This window comes from Homo sapiens, chromosome 20 (assembly GCF_000001405.40).
Source record: "Homo sapiens chromosome 20, GRCh38.p14 Primary Assembly".
NCBI lineage: Eukaryota > Metazoa > Chordata > Mammalia > Primates > Hominidae > Homo > Homo sapiens.
In genome coordinates, this window is record NC_000020.11 from 33139669 (window position 1) to 33160660 (window position 20992).

At 44.2% G+C, this 20992-nt stretch overlaps 1 long non-coding RNA gene across 6 annotated transcripts; it reads left to right on the forward strand.

Annotated features, from left to right (window-relative positions):
• The first annotated feature begins 668 nt into the window (after positions 1-668).
• Positions 669-20955, forward strand: LOC105372714 (uncharacterized). 6 transcript variants are annotated; one of them, XR_001754580.1, is made up of 5 exons: positions 669-1230; positions 1676-1931; positions 16128-16170; positions 17554-17608; positions 20578-20955. It is a non-coding gene; the product is annotated as an uncharacterized LOC105372714 (long non-coding RNA). The 6 variants fall into 6 exon arrangements; XR_001754579.1 differs by having other exon boundaries at positions 1824-1931; XR_005647057.1 differs by lacking the exons at positions 669-1230; positions 1676-1931; positions 17554-17608 and adding exons at positions 8684-8725; positions 10887-10950; positions 13257-13317.
• The last annotated feature ends 37 nt before the right edge of the window (positions 20956-20992 follow it).

Consider the following 20992-nt stretch of genomic DNA (forward strand, 5'->3'; position numbering starts at 1 on the left):
CACTAAATGATCAGTCTGGGGCTGGGTTATCTGGTGGTCTTGGTCAGTCTGGGGCAGGGTCAATGAGTGGTCAGACTGGGGATAGGTCATCTAGTGGTTATGGACATCTTGGGACAAAGACATCTGTAAGCTATGGTCAGTCTGGGGCAAGGTTAATGAATGTTCATCCTGGAGATGGGACAACTGGTAGTATTGATCAATCTGGGGTAGGGTCAATGAATGGTCAGCCTGGGCCAGGAACATATGCTGGTGACAGTCAGTTTGCACTAGGAGCATCTGGAGGATATGGCCAACCTAGGTATGGGTCACCTAGTCATTTTAGTCAATCTGAGACTGTATCATTGAATGGTCAGCCCAGAGTTAGGTCATCTGGTGTGCTGGGTCAGTCTAGGGTTGAATCAATGAATGGTCAGCTTGGGGTGGGACTGTCTGATGGCTCTGTTCAACCTGGGGCAAGATCATCAGGAGGAAATGTTCAACTTGGAGAAGGGACATCTGATCGTGATATGCATTCTGGGGCTGGATCATCTATAAATTCTGGTCAGTTTGGGGCTGGGATATCTGTTGGCTATGGTCAGTCTGGAGCTAAGTCACATGACAGTCATGGTCAGTCTGAAGCTCGGTCAGTCTAGAGGTTATGGTCAATTTGGGGCTGGAGTATCTTTTAGCTGTGGCCACTCAGGAGCTAGGCCACCTAATGATTATGACAAGTCTGGGGCTGGGTTCTACTTAGGTCACGGCCAGCCTGGGCGTGGCACCCCTGGCCCCTCTGGTCCACCTGGGGAAACACCATCTGGAGATCTTGGCCACATGGGATCCCCAGTGGATGATAAGGCTCCCCAACACAGGAGTCCAGTCAATGGCAACACACTGCCTCCCCCGGTTCATGATGGTCAAGGAGGGGGGTATAGGAGCAGGAGCTGGAAACACACTCAGTCAGCAATTGCCAACAACTGCCCTCAACAAAGACCTCCTGGCTCAGGAAGGGCTGCTTGGAGCCATCATTCTCAACAACCAGAATCTGGTTAGGGAGAGAGAGATGCTACTTAAGATCCTCCTGGGCAGCAGGACCTTACCTACTGGAAAAGATCATCTGCTGGAGGCAGCAGGGTCTCTGGCTCTGGAAGGACTGCTCTGCAAGGGTTCTCTGGGGGGCCTCTGTGGCCACGGGAGTCTTGTTGGCATCAACAATGTTCTGAAGAGCACTTCTTTCGGGAAACTCAACAGCTGGTAAGTTTAAGTCCTTCATCAATAAAACAGTTTCCCAATGCACTGATCAACAAGGGTTCTAGGTGCTCACTATATGTTAAGTGTTGGAGTCTGACTCACCTAATTGGAAGGCAGACAGTAAGAAGGCAGCCTCAGACGCCGCCTCCTCCTGCAAACTCTCAGCCCACTGCCCAGCATCCCATCATTATGGCTTCACCCCTTGGATTTATGAAGGTTTGTCTAAGCCTCCACTAAATTACAAATAGCATTGAAAAGGGGTACAGCAGAAGCTCTTCCCAGCTAGTACTTTAGTTATTATTTAATACCCCAGTGGTTAAAAACAGCATCTTTGTATGCTAACACTGTAATTTCCAACTGATGCTTTGAATTTGACATCTTAATTTTCCTTTAACATCTTAATTAACTACAAAAGTGTTAGTTATCAGCTAATGCTTTTCTTGTCTAGGATTTGGAAATGGGATTTAGAATGGAAATCTAGGTCAAGGATACGAAGGCCCAGGATAGAAGAAAAGCCATGTTGAAGTTTGAGTAATAAGTCGAGAAGACTGGGAAGTTCTGCTTTTCCACTTCACCTTGCTCTTCCCATTCTTCAGGCTCAAAATCATCAACTTTGATATCATCCAGGTGGCGTGGAAGAAGGTCTATCCTTTATCCAACCTCCAACTAGAATTTCAGACCAGGTTGACTATCAAACTCCCAGGGTGAGTAACTTATTCATGGCAAGAGAAGCCAGGTGGAAGAGAATTCTTGGAGATAGTAGGCAGTTTTTTTAAATGTTTAATTTTTGTGGAAACATAGTAGGCATATATACTTATGGGTTACATGAGATACTTTGATATGGGCATGCAATATGTAATAATCATATCATGGTAAATGGGGTATCTATCCCCTCACACACTTATCCTTGGTGTTATGAACAATCCAATTATGCTCTTTTAGTTATTTTTAAAGTACAATTAAATTATTATTGACTATAATCACCCTGTTGTGCTATCAAATACTGGGTCATATTTATTCTTTCTAATGATTTTTGTACCCATTAATCATCCCTTCCCCACTCCTATCACCTCACTACCCTTTCCAGCCTCTGGTAACCATCCTTCTATCACTATGAGTTCAACTGGTTTAATTTTTAGCTGCACAAATAAGTGAGAACATGCAAAGTGTCTTTCTGTGCCTGGCTTATTATACTTAACATAATGATCTCCAGTTCCATCCAGGTTGTTGCAAATAACAGGATCTCATTATTTTTATGGCTGAATACTACTTCATTGTATATATGTACCACGTTTTCTTTATCCATTCATCTTTTGATGGACACTTAAGTTGCTTTCAAATCTTGGCTATTGTGAATAGTGCTGCAACAAACATGGGCGTGCAGATATCCCTTCAATATACTGATTTCCTTTTTAGGAGTGTATATACTCAGAAGTGGGATTATTGGATCATAAGGTGGCTCTATCTTTAGTTTTTTGAGGACCCTCCAAACTGTTCTACATAGTGGTTGTACTAATTTATATTCCCACCAACAGTGTACGAGGGTTCCCTTTTCTCCACATCCTCGCCAGTATTTATTATTTCCTGTCTTGGATAAAAGCCATTCTAACTGGGGTGAGATGATATCTCATCGCAGTTTTGATCTGCATGTCTCCAATGATCCATGTTATCAAGCACCTTTTCATATGCCTGTTTGGCATTTGTATGTCTTCTTTACAGAAATGTGTATTCAGATCTTTTGCTCATTTTCAAATTAGATTATTAGATGTTTTCCTATAGAGTTGTTTGAGCTCCTTATATATTCTGGTTATTACTCCCTTGTCAGATGGGTAGTTTGCAAATATTTTCTCCCATTCTGTGGGTTGTCTCTTCACTTCGTTGATTGTTTCCTTTGTTGTGCAGAAGCTTTTAAACTTGATGTTATCTCATTTGTTCACTTTTGCTTTGGTTGCCTGTGCTTGTGGGGTATTACTCAAGAAAGTTTTGCCCAGACCAATGTCCTGGAGTTTCCCCAATGTTTCCTTTTAGTACTTTTATAGTTTGAAGTTTTATATTTAAGTCTTTAATCCATTTTTATTTGAGTTTTGTATATGGTGAGAGATAGGTGTCTAGTTTCATTCTTCTGCATATGGATATCCAATTTTCCCAGCACCATTTATTGAAGAGACTGTCTTTTCCCCAGTATATGTTCTTGGTACCTTTGTTAAAAATTAGTTCAGTGTATGGATTTGTCTCTGAGTTCTCGATTCTATTCCATAGATCTGTGTATCTGTTTCTATGCCGGTACCATGCTGTTTTGGTTATTGTAGCTCTGCAGCATAATTTGAAGTCAGATAATGGGATTCTTCCAGTTTTGTTCCTTTTACTCTGGATAGCTTTGGCTATGCTGGGTCTTTTGTGGTTCCAGATGAATTTTATAATTATTTTTCTATTTCTTTGAGCCATGTTATTTGTATTTTGATAGGGATTGCATACAATCTGTAGATTGCTTTGGGTAGTATGGACATTTTAACAATATTGAGTCTTCCAATCCATGAACATGAAATATCTTTCAATTTTTTGGTGCCTTTTTAAATTTCTTTTGTCAGTGTTTTATAGTTTTCATTGTAGAAATCTTTCACTTATTTGGTTAATTCCTAGGTATTTAATTTTATCTGCAGCTATTGTAAGTGGGATTACTTTACTTTAATTTCTTTTTCATATTGTTAACTGTTGGCATAAAGAAATATTACGGATTATTGCAAGTTGATTTTGCATCCTTCAACTTTACTGAATTTGTTTATCAGTTCTAATAGTTTTGTGGTGGAGTCTTTAGGTTTTTCCAAATACAAGATCATATCATCTGCAAGAAAGGACAATTTGACTTTTTCTTTCCAACTTGGATGCCCTTTATTTCTTTCTCTTGTCTGATATCTCTAGCTAGGACCTCAGTACTACGCTGAATAACAGTGGTGAAAGTGGGCATCTGTGGCTTATTGCAGATCTTAAAGGAAAAGCTTTCAGTTTTTCCCCGTTCAGTATTATACTAACTGAGGATCTGTACATATGGCTTTTATCTTGCTGAGGTATGTTCCTTTTATACCCAGTTTTTTTTGTGGGGGGGGGGGGTTTATCGTGAAGGAATGTTGAATTCTATCAAATGTTTTTTCAGCATCATTTGAAATTATCATATAGTTTTTATCCTTCATTCTATTGATATGATGTATAATACTGATTGATTTGCATATGTTAAACTATCCTTGCATCCCTGGGATAAATCCCACTTGGTCATGATGAATGATCTTTTTGGTTTGCTAGTATTTTGTTGAGGATTTTACATCAATATTTATCAGAGATATAGAGATAATGGCCTGTAGTTTTCTTTTTTTTGATGTGTCTTTGTCTGGGTTTGGTATCAGAATAATACTGACCTCATAAGAATGACTTTGAAGTATTCTCTCCTGCTCTATTTTTTGAAATAGTTTCAGTAAAATTGGTATTAGTTCTTCTTTAAATGTTTGGTAGCATACAGCAGTGACACCACTGGGTCTCAGCCTTTCTTTTACTGGGCGATATTTTATTATAGCTTCAATCTCGTTACTTGTTATTGGTCTGTTTAGGTTTTGGATTTCTCCATGGTTCAATCTTGGTAGATTGTGTGTATCCAGGAATGTATCCATTTCCTCTAGGTTTTCCAATGTATCAGTGTATAGTTGCTCATAGTAGCCAGTGATGATCCTTTGAATTTCTGAAGTATCCGTTGTAATATCTCATTTTTCATCTCTGATTTTATTTATTTGAGTCTTCTCTCTTTTTTCTTAGTTAGTCTGGTTAAAATTTTGTTCATTTTATTTATCTTTTCAGAAAATCAACTTTTGTTTCATTGAACTTTTGTATTGTTTTCTTCATTTCAGTTTCATTTATTTCTGCTCTAATCTTTACTATTTCTTTTTTTCTATTAACTTTTGGTTTGGTTTGCTCTTGCTTTGCTAGTTCTTTAAGATCCATCATTAGGTTATTTATTTGAGATTTTCTTCTTTTTCTGATATAGGCACTTAGAGCTATAAATTTTCCTCTTAGTACAACTTTCACTGTATCCCATAGGTTTTAGTATGCGGTGTTTCTATTATCATTTGTTTCAGTAAATTTCTCAGTTTCCTTCTTAATATAGTCATTGACCCACTGGTCATTCAGGAGCATATTGTTTAATTTCCGTGTGTTTTTACCATTTCCAAAATTCCTCATTATTGATTTCTCATTTATTTCATTGTAGTCAGAGAAGATGCTTGATATTATTTCAATTTTTAAAAATGTTTTAAGACTTGTTTTGTGACCTAACATATGGTCTATCCTTGAGAATGATCTGTGTGTTGAGTAGAAGAATGTGTATTATTCAGCTGTTGGATGAAATGTTCTATAAATATCAATTAAGTCCATTTGTTCTATAGTGCAGATTAAGTTCCATGTTTCTTTGTTGAGTTTCTATCTGAAAGATTCGTCCAATGCCAAAAGAGGAGTGTTAAAGTCGATCTCTCAGCTTTATATACCTGGGTGCACAAGTGCTCAGCAACCTTAGGACTCTACCAGGAAAGCACACGCCTTCCCTGACAGTGCCCTGCCTATAGCGAGTGTGGTGTGCTCCCTTTTCTGTGCTCACGTCAAGAGATCCTGGACAGGATCTCTGTCAAATCACTTCCCATGCCATGTTGTAATTGCCTGTATATTGCCTGTGTGAGCTCTACAGGAGCAGAGACTGCCTTAGACTTATGCCTTAGCCCACGGGAGCTCTGCCAGGCCACCATCCATGTTCACTTAAAGCCCAAGGGCGCCTCAGTCAGCTTGTGGTGAATGCTGCCCATGCCTGGGACTCATCCTTCAGGGCAGTGGCCTCCCGTCTGGCCCAGTGCAGGTCCACAAATGTCTAAGAGCCCAGGTCTGGATTTGGGGACCCCAAGAGCCTACGTGGTACTCTACCCCTCTGTAGCCAGGCTGGTACCTAAGGTGCAAGATGGAGTTCCCTTTATGTTTCCCTCTTCTTTTTTCAAGCAGAAAGAGTCTTTCACCATTGCCACCATAGCTGAGAGTGTACTGGGTCTCACCTGAAGCCAACACATCTCAGAGTCTCACCCAAGGCTCTGACATAGCACCTGGATATCACTGCTGGTTATTCAGGGCCTAAGGGCTGTTTATTCAGCAGGTGATGGATCCTCCCAGGACTGGCTCCTTCCCTTCAAAGTAGTAAGTTCCCTTCTGGCCCAAGGTGTGTCTAGAAACATGGTCCAGGAGCTAGGGCCTGAAACGCCAGCCTCACGACTCTGCCTGGTGCCCTATCCTATTGTGGCTGAGCTGGTATCCAAGATGCAAGACAAAGTCTTCTTTACTTTTCAGAAGGCAGTTTTTTAACAACTGACAAAATGGCCTTTGGTTATTCTTAGCATTTGCTGACAATTCTTGGCAATATCTGCCTAAACAGCTTCTTAGAGATGGCTGTTAACAGGAAGTTAGGTGTGAGATTAATTTTTTTCTTTTTCTGCTATTTCTTTATGTCTTATTGTAACAAACTTGGGGAGAAAAATAAAATGCGGCAGAAAAAAAAAATCTCTAATCTGGATGGGCACGGTGGCTTACGCCTGTAATCCCAGCACTTTGGGAGGCCAAGGCACGTGAATCACCTGAGGTCAGGAGTTTGAGACCAGTCTGGCCAATATGGTGAAACCCCCTCTCTACTAAAAATACAAAAAATTAGCCAGGCATGGTCGTGGGCACCTGTAATCCCAGCTACATGGGAGGCTGAGGCAGGAGAATTGCTTGAACCCAGGAGGCGATGGTTGCAGTGAGCCAAGATCGCACCATTGCCCTCCAGCCTGAGCGACAGAGCGAGACTCCGTCTCAAATAAACAAACAAAAAAAATCACTAATCTTGCAGCTTGGAGACAATGACTATTAACAGTTTTGTTTGCTTCTTTCCAGACCTTTTCCAGCACTATTTTGAATGTCAATAAATATTCCATACATAGATGCACCATGATACATTTTTAACCATTCTACTGTTAGATACTTGGGTTGTTTTCAATTTTCACGCTTATAAATAACTTTGTGATTAATATCTTGAGGAATAAACCTTTGTTCATATCTCTGTTTACTTACTAATTCTCAGAAGGGTAATTTATAGCTTTTGATAAGTATTGCCAAATTATCCTCCAAAGAGATGACGGTGGTGATAAAACATGACCAATGTTACTGAGTGCTTAAAATATTCTAGGCCCCTTGTTAAGGGCTTTTATGAATTGTCTCATATGATCTTCACCAGAACCTTAGAAACGAGGTACTGCTATTCTGCTCATTTTACGGAACAGGAAAAAAAAAAAAACTCAGAGAGGTTAAAGTCAATTGTGCTTGGGGATGTGGATGTGCACATATCTCCAGAAGGAGGCATGAAAAACATCGGTTGGGTAAGCATAGACACAGAATACACAAAGAAAGACAGAATGGAAGGAGGGGAGAAAGGGAGGAAGGGAGGAAGGGAGGAGGGAGGGAAAGAAGGAGGGAAGGAAGGGAAAAGGAAGGAAGGAAGGAAGGAAAACATTGGTGAGGTGTGTGATCTCAACAGGGTTACTGGGTAGCGAGGGGACATTGGTGGGGGCCAGGCTCTTCACTGTACGTTTTTCCATCTTTTGAATTTTAAACCACAGCAATGTATTCCGTATTCAAAAATAAACTAAAACATTTACTTAACTCACTTCCTATATACATTCAAAAACAAATCAAGACGGGATGTGGTGGCTCACACCTATAATTCCAGGACTTTGGGAGGCCAAGGTGGGAGGATCCCTTGAACCCAGGAGTTTGAGACCAGTCTAGGCAACATAGTGAAACCCCATTTCTACATAAAATTTAAAAATTAGCCAGGTGTGGTGGTGCGCACCTGTAGTCCCAACTACTCAGGAGGCTGAGGTGAGAGGATTGCTTGAGCCCAGAAGGTCAAGGCTGCAGTGAGTTGTGATCACACTGCTGTACTCCAGCCTGGGCAACAGAGCAAGACTCTGTCAATAAATAAATAAATAAATTTAAAAATATATACTGAACAGCAGGCATCATTTAAAAAATTTTGTATATGGGCCACCTCTCTCACACACAAATGCCAGTACTTGTTTCTGAGTTTGAGAAAAGCCTTTAGAACATCTCCAGACACCTGCTCTGGGAGGAGAGTGTTGCTTACATCACTGAGGTGGAGAAGAAGAGACCAGCGATTTGTCCTGGACCTTTCCTGGAACTCTGGGTGCACCCTGGCAGGTGACATCCCAGGCCATTCTTGCTGAGCCCTCCCTCTGGTGGGTCCCTGGGCTCAGCTCAGCCAGCCCTCCTGCTGTGTGCACAGGTTGCTTGGCTTCCTCAGTGGCTCCACAGTGGACGTGAACATCATGGCTACCTTTGTGCTCTCCCAGACCAAGCTGGGTCAAATCTCTCTTGACTTGCAGAACTGCCAGCCAGTCTTCACTAGGATCCACATGCGAGCAAGGTAGGTACTGTGCAGAGCGGGCTGAGTGCCCTGCAGGGTGCAGTGCGGGGACAGTGCCATGCTGCAGTGATCACCAGGCTTACTGGGGCCAGAGCTCCAGCAAACTATGCCACCAGAATACCTTTCTTCTTATTTCAGAGTCCCCTCTTCTGCCCAGGTTTCTCTACCAGGGAGGTTAGATTTCTAAGCAGGAGGAATGCCTTCTTTCTGAAAGCACATGCCTTCCTTGATAGTGCCCCTGCCTATAAGGAGTTTGGCATGCTCCCCTTTTTGCACTTACATAGAGAGATCCTGGACAGGATCACTGTCAAATCACTTCCCATGCTGTGTTGTAATTGTCTGCATATGCCTGCATGAGCACTATAGGAGCAGAGGCTGCCTTAGATTTATCATTTGTTTATTCAACAAATATGGAGCCAGGTAGGCACTGTGTTGTTCCTGGAGAACAAGACGGAGAAAGATGGATGGATGGTTAAATGAATAAATGAATGAAAGTGAGGATGGGAGGAGGGGTGGCTGGGAGGATGGATGGATGGATGGATGGATGATGGTTGGATGGATGAATGAAGGATGGATGAGTAGGTAGATGGATGGAGGCAAGGATGGATAGAGGGATGAACTGAAGTATAAATAGAGCAAATGATGGACTATAGTAGACTTTAGTAGACTCCCCTGAAAACTTCAGTAGACTACCCTGAAAAGACTTTAGTAGACTACCCTGAAAACCTAAGCTTGGCTCACGAGATGAGGTCTAAAAATACATGCTTACTTAATTTAAGAGCCATGAGCTCAGGGTTAACCAAGTTCTATAGCACTATATTTCAAACAGATCATTCTCTAAAAAAGCATCCAGAGGCTGGGCTGTGTACCCAATCACCATGATGATCTCTAAGGTCATTATTTCATGGTTGAGAAGGATGCTGTAAGCCTCAGGGAGGTGCTATAAATCAGGAGTGCTACAGTTCAATTTCATCATGGGTTTAACAAGGTAGGCAGGCTAACCTGAGAGTTCAACCACATGTTCTCTGAGATCCTTTCTAACTCCCAGATTCTGAATTCAATGCCTTAGAACATGGGTCACATGCTCAAATGCCTATTAGGGGTAGGAAAGTGGCATAAATTAGTAAGCGGGGTCCAGTTTAAGGAAATACAACATTCAAGTTCAATTTCAATTTTTGGGATGCAATAGAGAGTGGTGGGCACTGTGGCGAATTGGACAGCACATGTCTCATCTGAAGTGGGCAGCCTCTCCTTGGCTCCAGTTGACTATGGCCATATGGGAAGATGGGCCCAGTCTTGCCAGTTTTCTGTATTTTGAAGAAACTGGAACGTAAATTTTGAAACTTCACTGTAAAAATTTAAAAGACTATTTTTGCAAAAGAAAACACACCTGTGGGCCTCGTGTGGCCTGCAGCCTGCCATTCTACAGTCTCTATTTTAGAACATGATTTCTAAGGAGAAATGCCCTCTAAGTGCCTTAGCTCAAGTCACAAAGAATGTAAAACACACCCCTTGTTTAAGAGAAGGCAGGTACCCTGTGGTAATGGGTTGAATGCACTCCAGCCAATTTCTTTTCTTTCACTCATTTAGTCTTCACAACAACCCTATTTTACATTTTATAGATAAGAGGCACAGAGAGGTTATATAAATTGGACAAGGTCATATAGCCAGGAAATAGTGATGCTGGGATTCAAGCAATCTGTGTTTTTAACTATTCTGGTAGTTTGAGTTAATATATGCCATGAATTGAGCCGGGCGCGGTGGCTCATGCCTGTAATCCCAGCACTTTGGGAGGCCGAGGCGGGTGGATCACGAGGTCAAGAGATGGAGACCATCCTGGCCAACATGCTGAAACCCTGTCTCTACTAAAAATACAAAAAATTAGCTGGGCGTGGTGGCGCACGCCGTAGTCCCAGCTACTTGGGAGGCTGAGGCAGGAAAATCGCTTGAACCTGGGAGGTGGAGGTTGCAGTGAGCCAAGATCGCACCACTGCACTCCAGCCTCGCGACAGAGCAAGACTCTGTCTAAAAACAAACAAACAAACAACAAACAACAACAAAAAAAAATATGCCGTGAACTTAGACTAGTCCCCGGAGCAAAGGAAACATTTTGTAACCTTTAGCTATAATTGTTATTGTTTCTAATGCTCCTACTCCCCAGCCTGCTCTCTGCAGTGATGGAGACCATGTTGAAATGGATCCTGGATACCTCCCTACCCAACATGGTAAGTTTGAAAAGGGAAACTAGGCAGACCCTTTGCAGCTGAAGTATGGAGGGGTAGCCAAGATGGGAGAGGCAGCCATGCCAGTTTTATTCCTGGGCTCTCTAATCTCTCAGAGTTTTCTTTCCTGTCCTTTTTATGAGTCCCTGATACTGGGCAAGGCGGAGAGAAAGGGACATTTCATGAGGGACAACTATATACCAGGTAGTTTACACCTGTGGAAGATGAAGATTTGCATTGTGTTACAAATTCTGATAGAATCATTTAATCTCATCTGATAAATTTATTCTTCAAAGAGAAAGGCATACAGATTTTTTCTTATCAAGAGAATTCAGCATCTGTTTACTGGTTACAATTTGATCAATGAGCTTTCCACCAGCAAGTTCATTATTACAAGGTTGGTAAACAATCAGCTTCTTCTGGCAAACATGGGTTTACAACTTAAACAAACAATCGCAATTCCCTACAACAGCCTAATAAACGCAGTGCCTCCATCACAAATATGTTTGGATTAAGGGTATAGGTTGCAATGCTTGCAAAATAACAAGAATTTTTTTTTTGAAAAAGAGCACTGTGTCCTGCTGACCAGGTTTGGATTCCTCCAGGAGCAGACACTGAAACAAGGGTTTGAATGCAAGCAGTTTATTTGGGAGGTAGTCCCAGGAAGTACAAGTAGGAGAGTGAGGATTAGAGACAGGGAAGAGGAGGCAGTTCATATGGTGTGATATCAAGCCAGTTACCATTATGAGCGCTGGAGCTTAGTCTCCTTGGGGAAACCTGGTTCAGTGCATGGAACATGCCTTAGAATTACCCCACCCAAGGGTGAGGAAGCTGGGGTATTTATATACCAACTCCCATCAGTCTTTGGTTGAGGGCTGCTCCTGGGAGCATTGATTCCATGGTACTTCCAGCCTATGCACAGGCAGGAAAAGCAGGTTTTGGAGGCTCCAATAGACAGATGCAAGTGGGAGCTGGACTCAAGTGGCAAAGGAAGGGAGTATGGGGAGGTATGAACAATGTTTTCCTGACCTTCTTAGCAACCCAGCCAGAAATCCAATTTTATGATGACAAGCTAGAGAATAAATATAAATTTCACCTAAAGCATTTACCCCACCTGAATAAAGCTATTTATCCTTGGTTCTCTTACACTGTTATGTGAATCTCCAACTTACTCCCTTATCTTTTAACTAAAGGTAATAATTAGCTCTTAGGATGCACTCACAAAAGCATCTTGTCAAGTCTTTTTCTTAAAAGTTTCTCATTAAAATGCCATCACATCTACTGATTTGTGCTTCTGTTCTTTAAATTTGTCAAACATTGAATTAATGCATTTGAGGCTTATCAGAATATCCTATAATTGGCTGGGCACCATGGCTCACGGCTTTAATCCCAACACTTTGGGAGGCTAAAAAGGGCAGATCACTTGAGGTCAGGAGTTCAAGACCAGCCTGGCCAACATGGTCAAACCCTGTCTCTACTAAAAATATAAAAATGAGCCTGTCGTTGTGACAGGTGCCTGTAATTCCAGCTACTTAGGAGGGTGAGGCAGGAGAATCACTTGAACTCGGGAGGCGGAGATTGCAGCGAGCTGAGATCGCGCCACTGCACTCCAGCCTGGGCAATAGAACGAGACCCCATCTCAAAAAAAAAAAAAGAAAAGAAAAGAGAATGCTATAATAATTAAATATTTGAGGCTTATAATTTTGTCGCCCACATGGCCATGCTATGAGGTGTAGACTATAATTCCTTCCATTTTTGAGATGAGAAAAAAGGCTCAGAGAGGTGGGGTGACTTGCCCAAGGACACTATATAAGTGTTAGCTGTTATCATTGCTAAATAGTTCATTGCTGAGTGGAGCTCAAACTGATTAAAACATTGGTTCTCAACTCAAGGCAAGTTTGCATGCCAAGGGGTGTTGGCAGCATCTGGAGACATTTTTGGTTGTCACAACTAGGGGAGTGCTCCTGGCATCTAGTGGGTAGAAGCCAGGGATGCTGGTAAAAATCCTACAGGGCACAGGACAGCCACGCATGACAGAGAATGATCTGGTCCAAAATGTCAATAGTGCCAACACTGAGAAGCCCTGAATGAAATGGTTGATGTTGATGGTGGTAATGTGATGATATTTCTATCATGCAGAAAATGGCAGAGCTCAGACTGGATTAGATTGATTTAGTCCCTTGATGGGGACCTGGAGGCCCATGGAGAGATAGGATCTATCTAGGGTCACACAGCCAGGTGGAGACAGCTGGGCTGCAAGGGTAGCCCAAGGCTCCTCTCACCGAGATCTCTGTTCCTCTGTATTTCAGCTGTGCCCAGTGGTCCAGTTCTGGTTCTACATTATCTATCAACAGTTGAACGTTCTGAAAAGTGAGTTGTGCCGATGGCTTGAGACCAAATCTGTTTAGACCGTTGCATACCCCCTTCCCCCACTCCTGCTTTCTCCCCTTCATGGCTGCCAGAGAGATTTTTCTGGATCACATCTCTGATCAAAATCTTCTGCAGATGACCAGGAGGATCAAGGGCACACCCCCAAGGCTGGCAGTTGAGATCTCTCCTGCAACTGCTCCATCCAGCCTTAGTCTTGTCTTTCTTCTTGCTGCTCCAGCTGGTTGGCCTCAGCCACCCCCATACATGCCAGCCCCTTTTGAGACACAATGGCTTTGCTCTTGGAGACTTCCTACACCCTCTTTCTGTGCCTGGAAAACTCTTTTACCCCTTCAAGGTGTGACTCCCATGATTTGTCCTTCCAAAACCTTTGCAGATCTCTCCAGGCAGAAGGACTCCCTCCTGAGGACTTCTGCAGGACTGTGCACACCCATCTGGTATTCATCATATAGCTTAGTAACTCTCTGTTTCTTGGCTGTGTCTTTAATCTAGACCAGAAGCTTGTTAAGGGTTGAGACTTTGTTGTACTCTCTCTTGTATTTGTCTCATAGTCCTTGCTGGGCACAGAGTAGACCCACCATGTCAACTTTGTTGGCATAGGAACTGGAGATGAAAGGAAGAAATGTGGATGGACAGAAGTATGAATGAATGATAAAATAGAAAAATGAAAAGATGAATGGAAGAATGTATGGATAGAAGGGTGGATGAGTGATATTTAAATAGAAGGAAGTATGGATGTGAAATGATGGATGGAGAACAAAGGAAGGGAGGGAGAGAAGGAGGGAGGGAGGGAGAGAGGAAGAAAGGGAGGGAGAGAGGGAGGGAGGGAGGAAGGGAGGGAGGGAGGAAGGAAAGAAGGAAGGAAGGAAGGCAGGCAACTTGGATAAAAGGTGAAGAATATGTGGATGGATGGATGGGAGAAGCAAAGGGAGAAAGTTGGAGAAAAGTATGGAAAGAGAAGGAAAGAAGGAAGGTTGAATAGGAGGATGAATGGATTAAAGTGTACATAAATGGTGGTTGGAGAGGTGAGTGAATGAATGAAGGAAAGATTTATTACTGGATGTGTGGGAAGATGAATGGTGGCTAGGTGGATGGATAAATAATAGATGGATTAATGAATGGGTGAAGGAAGAAAAAAGCTATAGAGATGGATGAATGAAAAAGAAGGAAGAAAAAAAGGAAAACTTGGTGGCTGGGTGGATGGATGGGAAGATGTGTAGAAAGATGCTGGTTAGGCAGGCAGTAAGGAGAGCTTCATGGCTGGACAAGGAAGAGAGATGGATTACAACATGCCAAGTTGAGAACGCTCCACTGTCTGAGCCAGAAGACAGTGGGCTTTATAGCTGCAATGTAACAGTTTGGGAATAATCTCCGTCTCCTGCATAAATCTATGGATGACAAGGGAAAATGAATGAGCTTCATAAGTCTCCACCTCAGTTGACTTATCTCTTATGTTTCTCTTGTCCGCCCTTCCCGTCGCCCCCTGTCTCCCTCTGTCTCCATCAGATGTCCACTTACTCAGATTATTTAGGGACCACCTCTCACCTCTCTCCCAAATACCCCTGTTGTCTCAGCAGTATCACTGCCTGGAGTTTCAGGTAGGAGCAGCTGCTTCTCTCCTAAGGAATGTTCTGGGATTCGCCTCTGAGATTTTCTTCACATCTGAAACTAGCTCAATGGTGCCCCATCACTCACTTGAGTCTCCCAAGCAAATGTGCCCACAGCTGTCCCCTTAAAAGAGGGAGTATGTGCCATGGCTTCAGAGCCAGGCAGGCTCTGCTTCTGCTTGACTGTGCAACCCTGGGCAAATCCCTTTACCTTTCTAAGCCTCGGTTTCTTCCTCTATCAGGTGAGGATGATTAGCATTCCCCATATAAAGCTAATTCATCACTTGCAAGACGTGCATTTTCCTTACATTGTAAATATCTTAAATTGGAATGCATTGTATATTCAATGGCATTTCATAATTTAATTGGCAATTTAAAAATTTCTTAGTGGCACATTAAATAATGCATATCTTAATCAATGGTATTCTAGTGTGTGTGGAATATAATATGATGATTAGATGAGAACATGCTTGGTTATTTACCTAGCACAGCCTAGGAGCTCAAACACTAGTGGTTTATTCCTCTTTACCTTTATTATTATTATTTTTTGTATTTATTTATTTTTGAGACTGAGTCTCGCTCTGTCACCCAGGCTGGAGTGATGCAATCATGGCTCACTGCAACCTCCACCTCCCAGGTTCAAGTGATTCTCCTGCCTGAGCCTCCCGAGTAGCTGGGATTACAGGCACGCGCCACCACACCCGGCTAATTTTTGTATTTTTAGTAGAGACAGTGTTTCACCATGTTGGCCAGGCTGGTCTCGAACTCCTGACGTCAGGTGATCTGCCTGCCTCGGCCTCCCAAAGTGCTGGGATTACAGGCGTAAGCCACCATGCCCAACCTGCCCTTAGTTTAAAATATTAAATTAAGTGAGTTACTTGGCATCACAATATTCGGGGGTTTTAAGTCCATGATGGGCCTGCATCCCTTTCCTCTCAGCTTCTCCCAAGCCTTAGCATAATCCTGCCGGCCCCTCTAACTCACAGAAATTCTTGAATTACAGAGAATGTGTTTTGTTCCACAAAGTAGAACCTTCAGGGATCTTGGGGCAGAGCCATCTCTGAGTCTCCTTTCCTTGTCCATAATTCTTATATTGCAAGGTTGTTGTGAGGATTAAATGAGAGGCACATAGTCTAGCATACAATAGGTGCTCAACTAATGTGGGCTATCTGGTTTTTTCCCCAGGACAAATACTTCCCAGGCTCTTTCATTAACTGGCTGCTTGAAAGTAAGTTTTGTTTTCTCATATCCACCCCACTGTCTCCCAGTCCTGCCTCCCTCTTCAGGGCAGGACAGTCCTTCCTCAAACATTGGTGTAAAACCGTAGGACCTCAGAGCACCTACCTGACACAGAATTTGTGCCCTGATCAATAGCACCAAAGCAGGGTTTCTGAATAGTCAATTTCATGGTGACCAGTGTTGCAGTGTGGTTCCTGAGATAGCCCACTCCACTATGATTACTGTTACAATGCATTCTAGGGCCATCCTATTCCGTAGTGATTCTTGTTATTGAGGGATCTCTGGAGTGTCCATCCCATAGTGGCCAGTGTTAGGTTCGTGGGATAGCCCACTCTACAGTGATCAGTGTTAGGGTGGGTCTCCTGAACTGACCTACTGCGCAGTGAAGGGTTTTATCATGAGCTTCCTGTGATCACGCACTCCAGGATGACTAGTCTTCTGGTGAAATTGCTGAAATTTCCCATTCCATAATGATCAGTGCTGTGGGATTCCTGGGATAGCCTGCCCCACAGGGAAGACTATTATAGTGAAATTCCTAAAATATTTCACTACTGTGGTCTGTTATTGAAATAACTGACTCCGTAAAGAAGGCATTACCATCGGACTCAGGACTAGCCCCTTCCCTTGGTGTTAAAGTGAAACGTTATGGTTATTACGGTTTTGGTGTTATAGCTACGTTCCTGGGCTATGCCACTTTTTGGTGAAGAATGCAGGGCTGGAATTCCTGGGATAGCCCACTGCTCTATTGTGAGAAGCTTTCCAGAACTGATTTCTGAGTCTGGAGGAATTTTTAAAAAATCACTGTGCTTTCATTACATTTCCCAAATCTCCTATGCTTACTGCTGAGGCAAGAGCGGAGGGAGGTAGGCAAAGAAGGAGAGTTGTCCTGGACCAAACTTCTGGACTAACTGCCGTTATAGGGTGCCTTGTGCCACTTCTCAGTTTCTCACCGAGGCTGGGCACCAGGCAGGAGGCAGGAGAAAAGATGGGACACTCCTCTCCCCCAAGCAGGCGGGGAAGCCTATTGTTCCCCTGGGGAGACAGGGAAGCTTTTAAGCCCTCTTGCTGTTTCTCTGGGACTTCTCCAACATTATGGTGAAAGCCAGAAAAGGTGAGCAGAAACAGCCCTAAGCCAGGCATCCTGAGACCTAGGTTTTAAGACCCAGTTCAGACACTAACTCTCTGGGAGAACTTATGCCAGCCCCACCCTCTCTCTGGGCCTCTCTCCTCTCATCTGTAAAGTGTGCCGAGTCTCCAAAGGCCTTTCTTTCAATAAGAATGTTGGGAAGGTGAAAAGCAGGGCAAAACCTTGGCCGCAACAAGTCTTTCTCATGGTGGCGTCTTCTAATGTCTTCTGTGCTGTCGGTTGCAGTGACCCCTCAGTCTTCCTATTTCTAGGATGAGCATGGGACCCCGCCAAGACTATGGTAAGGATGTTCAAACGCTGGAGCATCACTGTGGGACTCCCCTCTAAGTGGCTGTGACCTTGATCTACCCACCAATGATTTCCCGCAGCCAAACCACAAATAGTTCCTTCATTAGAGCTTATGTTTGGATATGCCCAAAGCTGATAAGCTGGGAAATTTCCCAAGGGAAGGTAATTCAGCATGGAGCTGATGGAGGTAGAAGAGCCTCTAAGAAGCAGACTAAAGGAATGGTGCCTGACAGGGGAAGGGAAGTGAATGCCCCTTCCACTTCAGACAGATGGTCGGATTTATAGCTTAGGATTTGAGTATTCTTGAGGACCATCTGAAGCTGATGAGATGTTCCATCCAGCAGGTCAATGGCCTTGCAGTAAGATGTATGAAGCCAGGTTACAAGCCTGACTTTAAGTCTGTTAGAACTAAAGGAAGTAGAGGCCAGGCATAGTGGCTCCTGCCTATAATCACAGCACTCCAGGAGCCTGAGGCAGGAGGATCGCTTGAGCCCAAGAGTTTGAGGCCAGCCTGGGCAACATGGTGACATCCTATCTCTACAGAAAATACAAAAATTAGCTGGGTGTGGTGGTGTGTGCCTGAAGTCCCAGCTACTTGGGAGGCTGAGGTGGGAGGATGGCCTGAGCCTGGGGAGGTCAAGGCTGCAGTGAGCCATGATTGCACCACTGCACTGCAGCTTGGGTGACAAAGCAAGACCCTGTCTCAAAAAAAAAAAAAAAAAAAAAAGACCTGAAGGAAATTGGTGCTAAATGTAAAGTTACCTGGAACCCTTGGACTGTCTGCATTTCCAATTAACCACATCTCTGCACTCTGCTTTCCTCTCCTGCATAAGCAAGGTGCTCCCAAGCCACTTTCTCAATGAGTAAGGTTCACTTTAGGATCTGCCAAGGGAAATAAAGTAAAGAATGCCAAGATTATATACATTTAGAATTCCAGAAGGTCAGAATCTTGGCCTTAGAGATCCTGGGAACTCCAAGACCTTGGCAATGGGTGGGAATGAGCAGAGGTGCTGGACCTGCTGGGTCCACAGGATTGAAGCCCTGCATCCTTTAATTGCATGAAACTCTCATGATGCAGTAGTGTGTTGGGAACTGGGTGGCCCCTGTCATGGCTTTTTGGTGTGGCAGTGAAAGGGACAGGCTTTAGGGTCAGGTAGACCTAAGTTCAAATTCCACCCTTCCAATGACTCGGAATCTCAGGTTCCTCTTCCACAAAATGAGAGTGAGAATGGCACCTATTTTATAGGAAAATTGTGAGAAAATGCATGAAGAAAGCCTATGCTCAGAGCCTGGGTGACAGCGTGAGATGCTGTCTCAAAAACAGAAAAGAAAAAGAAAAAGAATGAAAGGAAATGAGCGCTAAATGTAAAGTTACCTGGAACCATTGCATTTCCAGTTAACCACATCTCTGCACTCTACCTTTCCTCCAGAGAACCAGAGGGTGGTAAAGCAGCTCTACCTCAAACACCCCAATCCCTGTGGTACTAATGGGGGAAACAGACCAGAAGGGCATGGAAGACTCAGCGAAGACACTGTAGGGTGCCCCCTGCCTGAGGCTCCGGTCACCTCTCCCCTCCTGCAGCTCCTGCCTGCTGTCAAGAGGACCTGGGTGTGAAGCCCAGCTCTGCATCCTTCCAGCTGTGCAGAAGTGGGCCAGGCACCTCACCTCACTGGGCCTCAGTTTCCTTGACTGTTAAACAAATATGACCACTGGCAGATTGTCTAAACACCACCAGGCAGAGGGGACAGGCAGCTTGAGCTAAGGTGTGGAGTGGGGAACCGCAAGGGGCTGTGAGAACCCACAATCACACTCTCTGCCTCTCCCTGTTCCCCGTAGACAAGCACAGTGACAGAAGCTGGACACTGCCTGTCCTTCCACGTCTCTCCCGCTGCTGGCCACACACAGGGAGCAGCAGGTATGGCCTGGGCACCGGCAGGGCTCCCAGGCGGAGGGATTGGGGTGAGAGCAGGCACAGTTCTCAGATTTTGCCACAAGGTAGAGTTGTGACCCTGCTACTCCATGTTTCTCATACCTGTTAGAATTTAAGGATATTTGCATAATGCAGCATTTTATTTTTATTTTTATTTTTTATGCCAGGCACTGTGCTGGGCATTTGGCTTTCAGGATCGCATGTGATTTTCATAGCCACCTCTCAAGGTCAGCAGTATCATTATCTCTATTTTAGAGATGAGGAGACTGAGGTTCAAAGTGGTGATGGGACTGCATGGATGGACTGGGGAGTCTGACTGGGGAGTCAGAATTCGGCTCAAATCCCAGCTCTTCAGCCTATCAGGACACATAACCTCTCGTGCCTCAGGCTCCAAAGGGGAAAAATGGGGCCAATGATAGCAATAATATTTTGAATAGACCTTAGCTCTTTGTGGATTGTTTATCCTATGCCCAGCCATGGATCATTTCATTCCGCCCTTTACCCCCCTTAAGAGGCAGCTGTTGATACATATTCATTCTGCAGATGAGGAAACTGAGGCCCAGTGAGGTTAGCTGCTGCCTGGCCCACTTCTACACAGCTGGAAGGAGGCAGAGCTGGGCTTCACACCTAGATCCTCTGGCAGCGAGCAGGAGCTGCAGGAGGTGGTGGGTGTCTGGGGCCTGGAGCAGGGGGGACCCTACTGTGTCTTGGCTGAGTCTCCCATGCCCTCTGGCCTCAGTTTCACCACTGATACCACAGGGATTGGGATGTTTGAAGTGGAGTGCCTTCACGGTCCCCTGGTTCTCTGGAGAAAAATGCAGTGCAACAGCCAAGAAGCCATATCCAGGAGGCTCCTGGAGTTGCGGGGGTGGACCCTGCAGCAAGAAGAGGGCCCTCAGCTCCTGGGTGTCTCCCCATGCCCCAGCCAAAGCCACCCAGAGCTCAGTCCACACTGGGCCTCCCTAGTGTCACTTGGGTGCATGGCTGATGACACATATGACCATGTTTGTTTTCTCAACCTTTTCGTCAGGACCGCCTTTGTGAACAACCTGAGGGCCCTGCAGGCTGCGGGGAGAGTCACGTGGAGCCTGAGGGTGGCACAAGGAAGGCAGAGAAGAAGCAAGTGGAGCTGGCCTTCAGGGTTCCTGAGTCTCCACAGGCCCAGGGCACCTGTTCTTGGTCCAGCAATAAATGCTCAGATGGATGGCGAGGACTTGGGTCACCACAGGATCCACTATGGGAGGCTCCTGGGAAATATCACCATCACGACATTCATTCTTTCAGGCAGTAAGCATAGCCAGGTCCCATTTGATATGAATCTGACCTGCAAATCTGCAACAGTGTCCTGCAACATATTAAGTTTTACATGGTGACCAGAAAGTTAAATAAAACATCCCCTCCCCCCACCTTTTCCATTGTTAAGAACACACACCTAACTTGCTCAA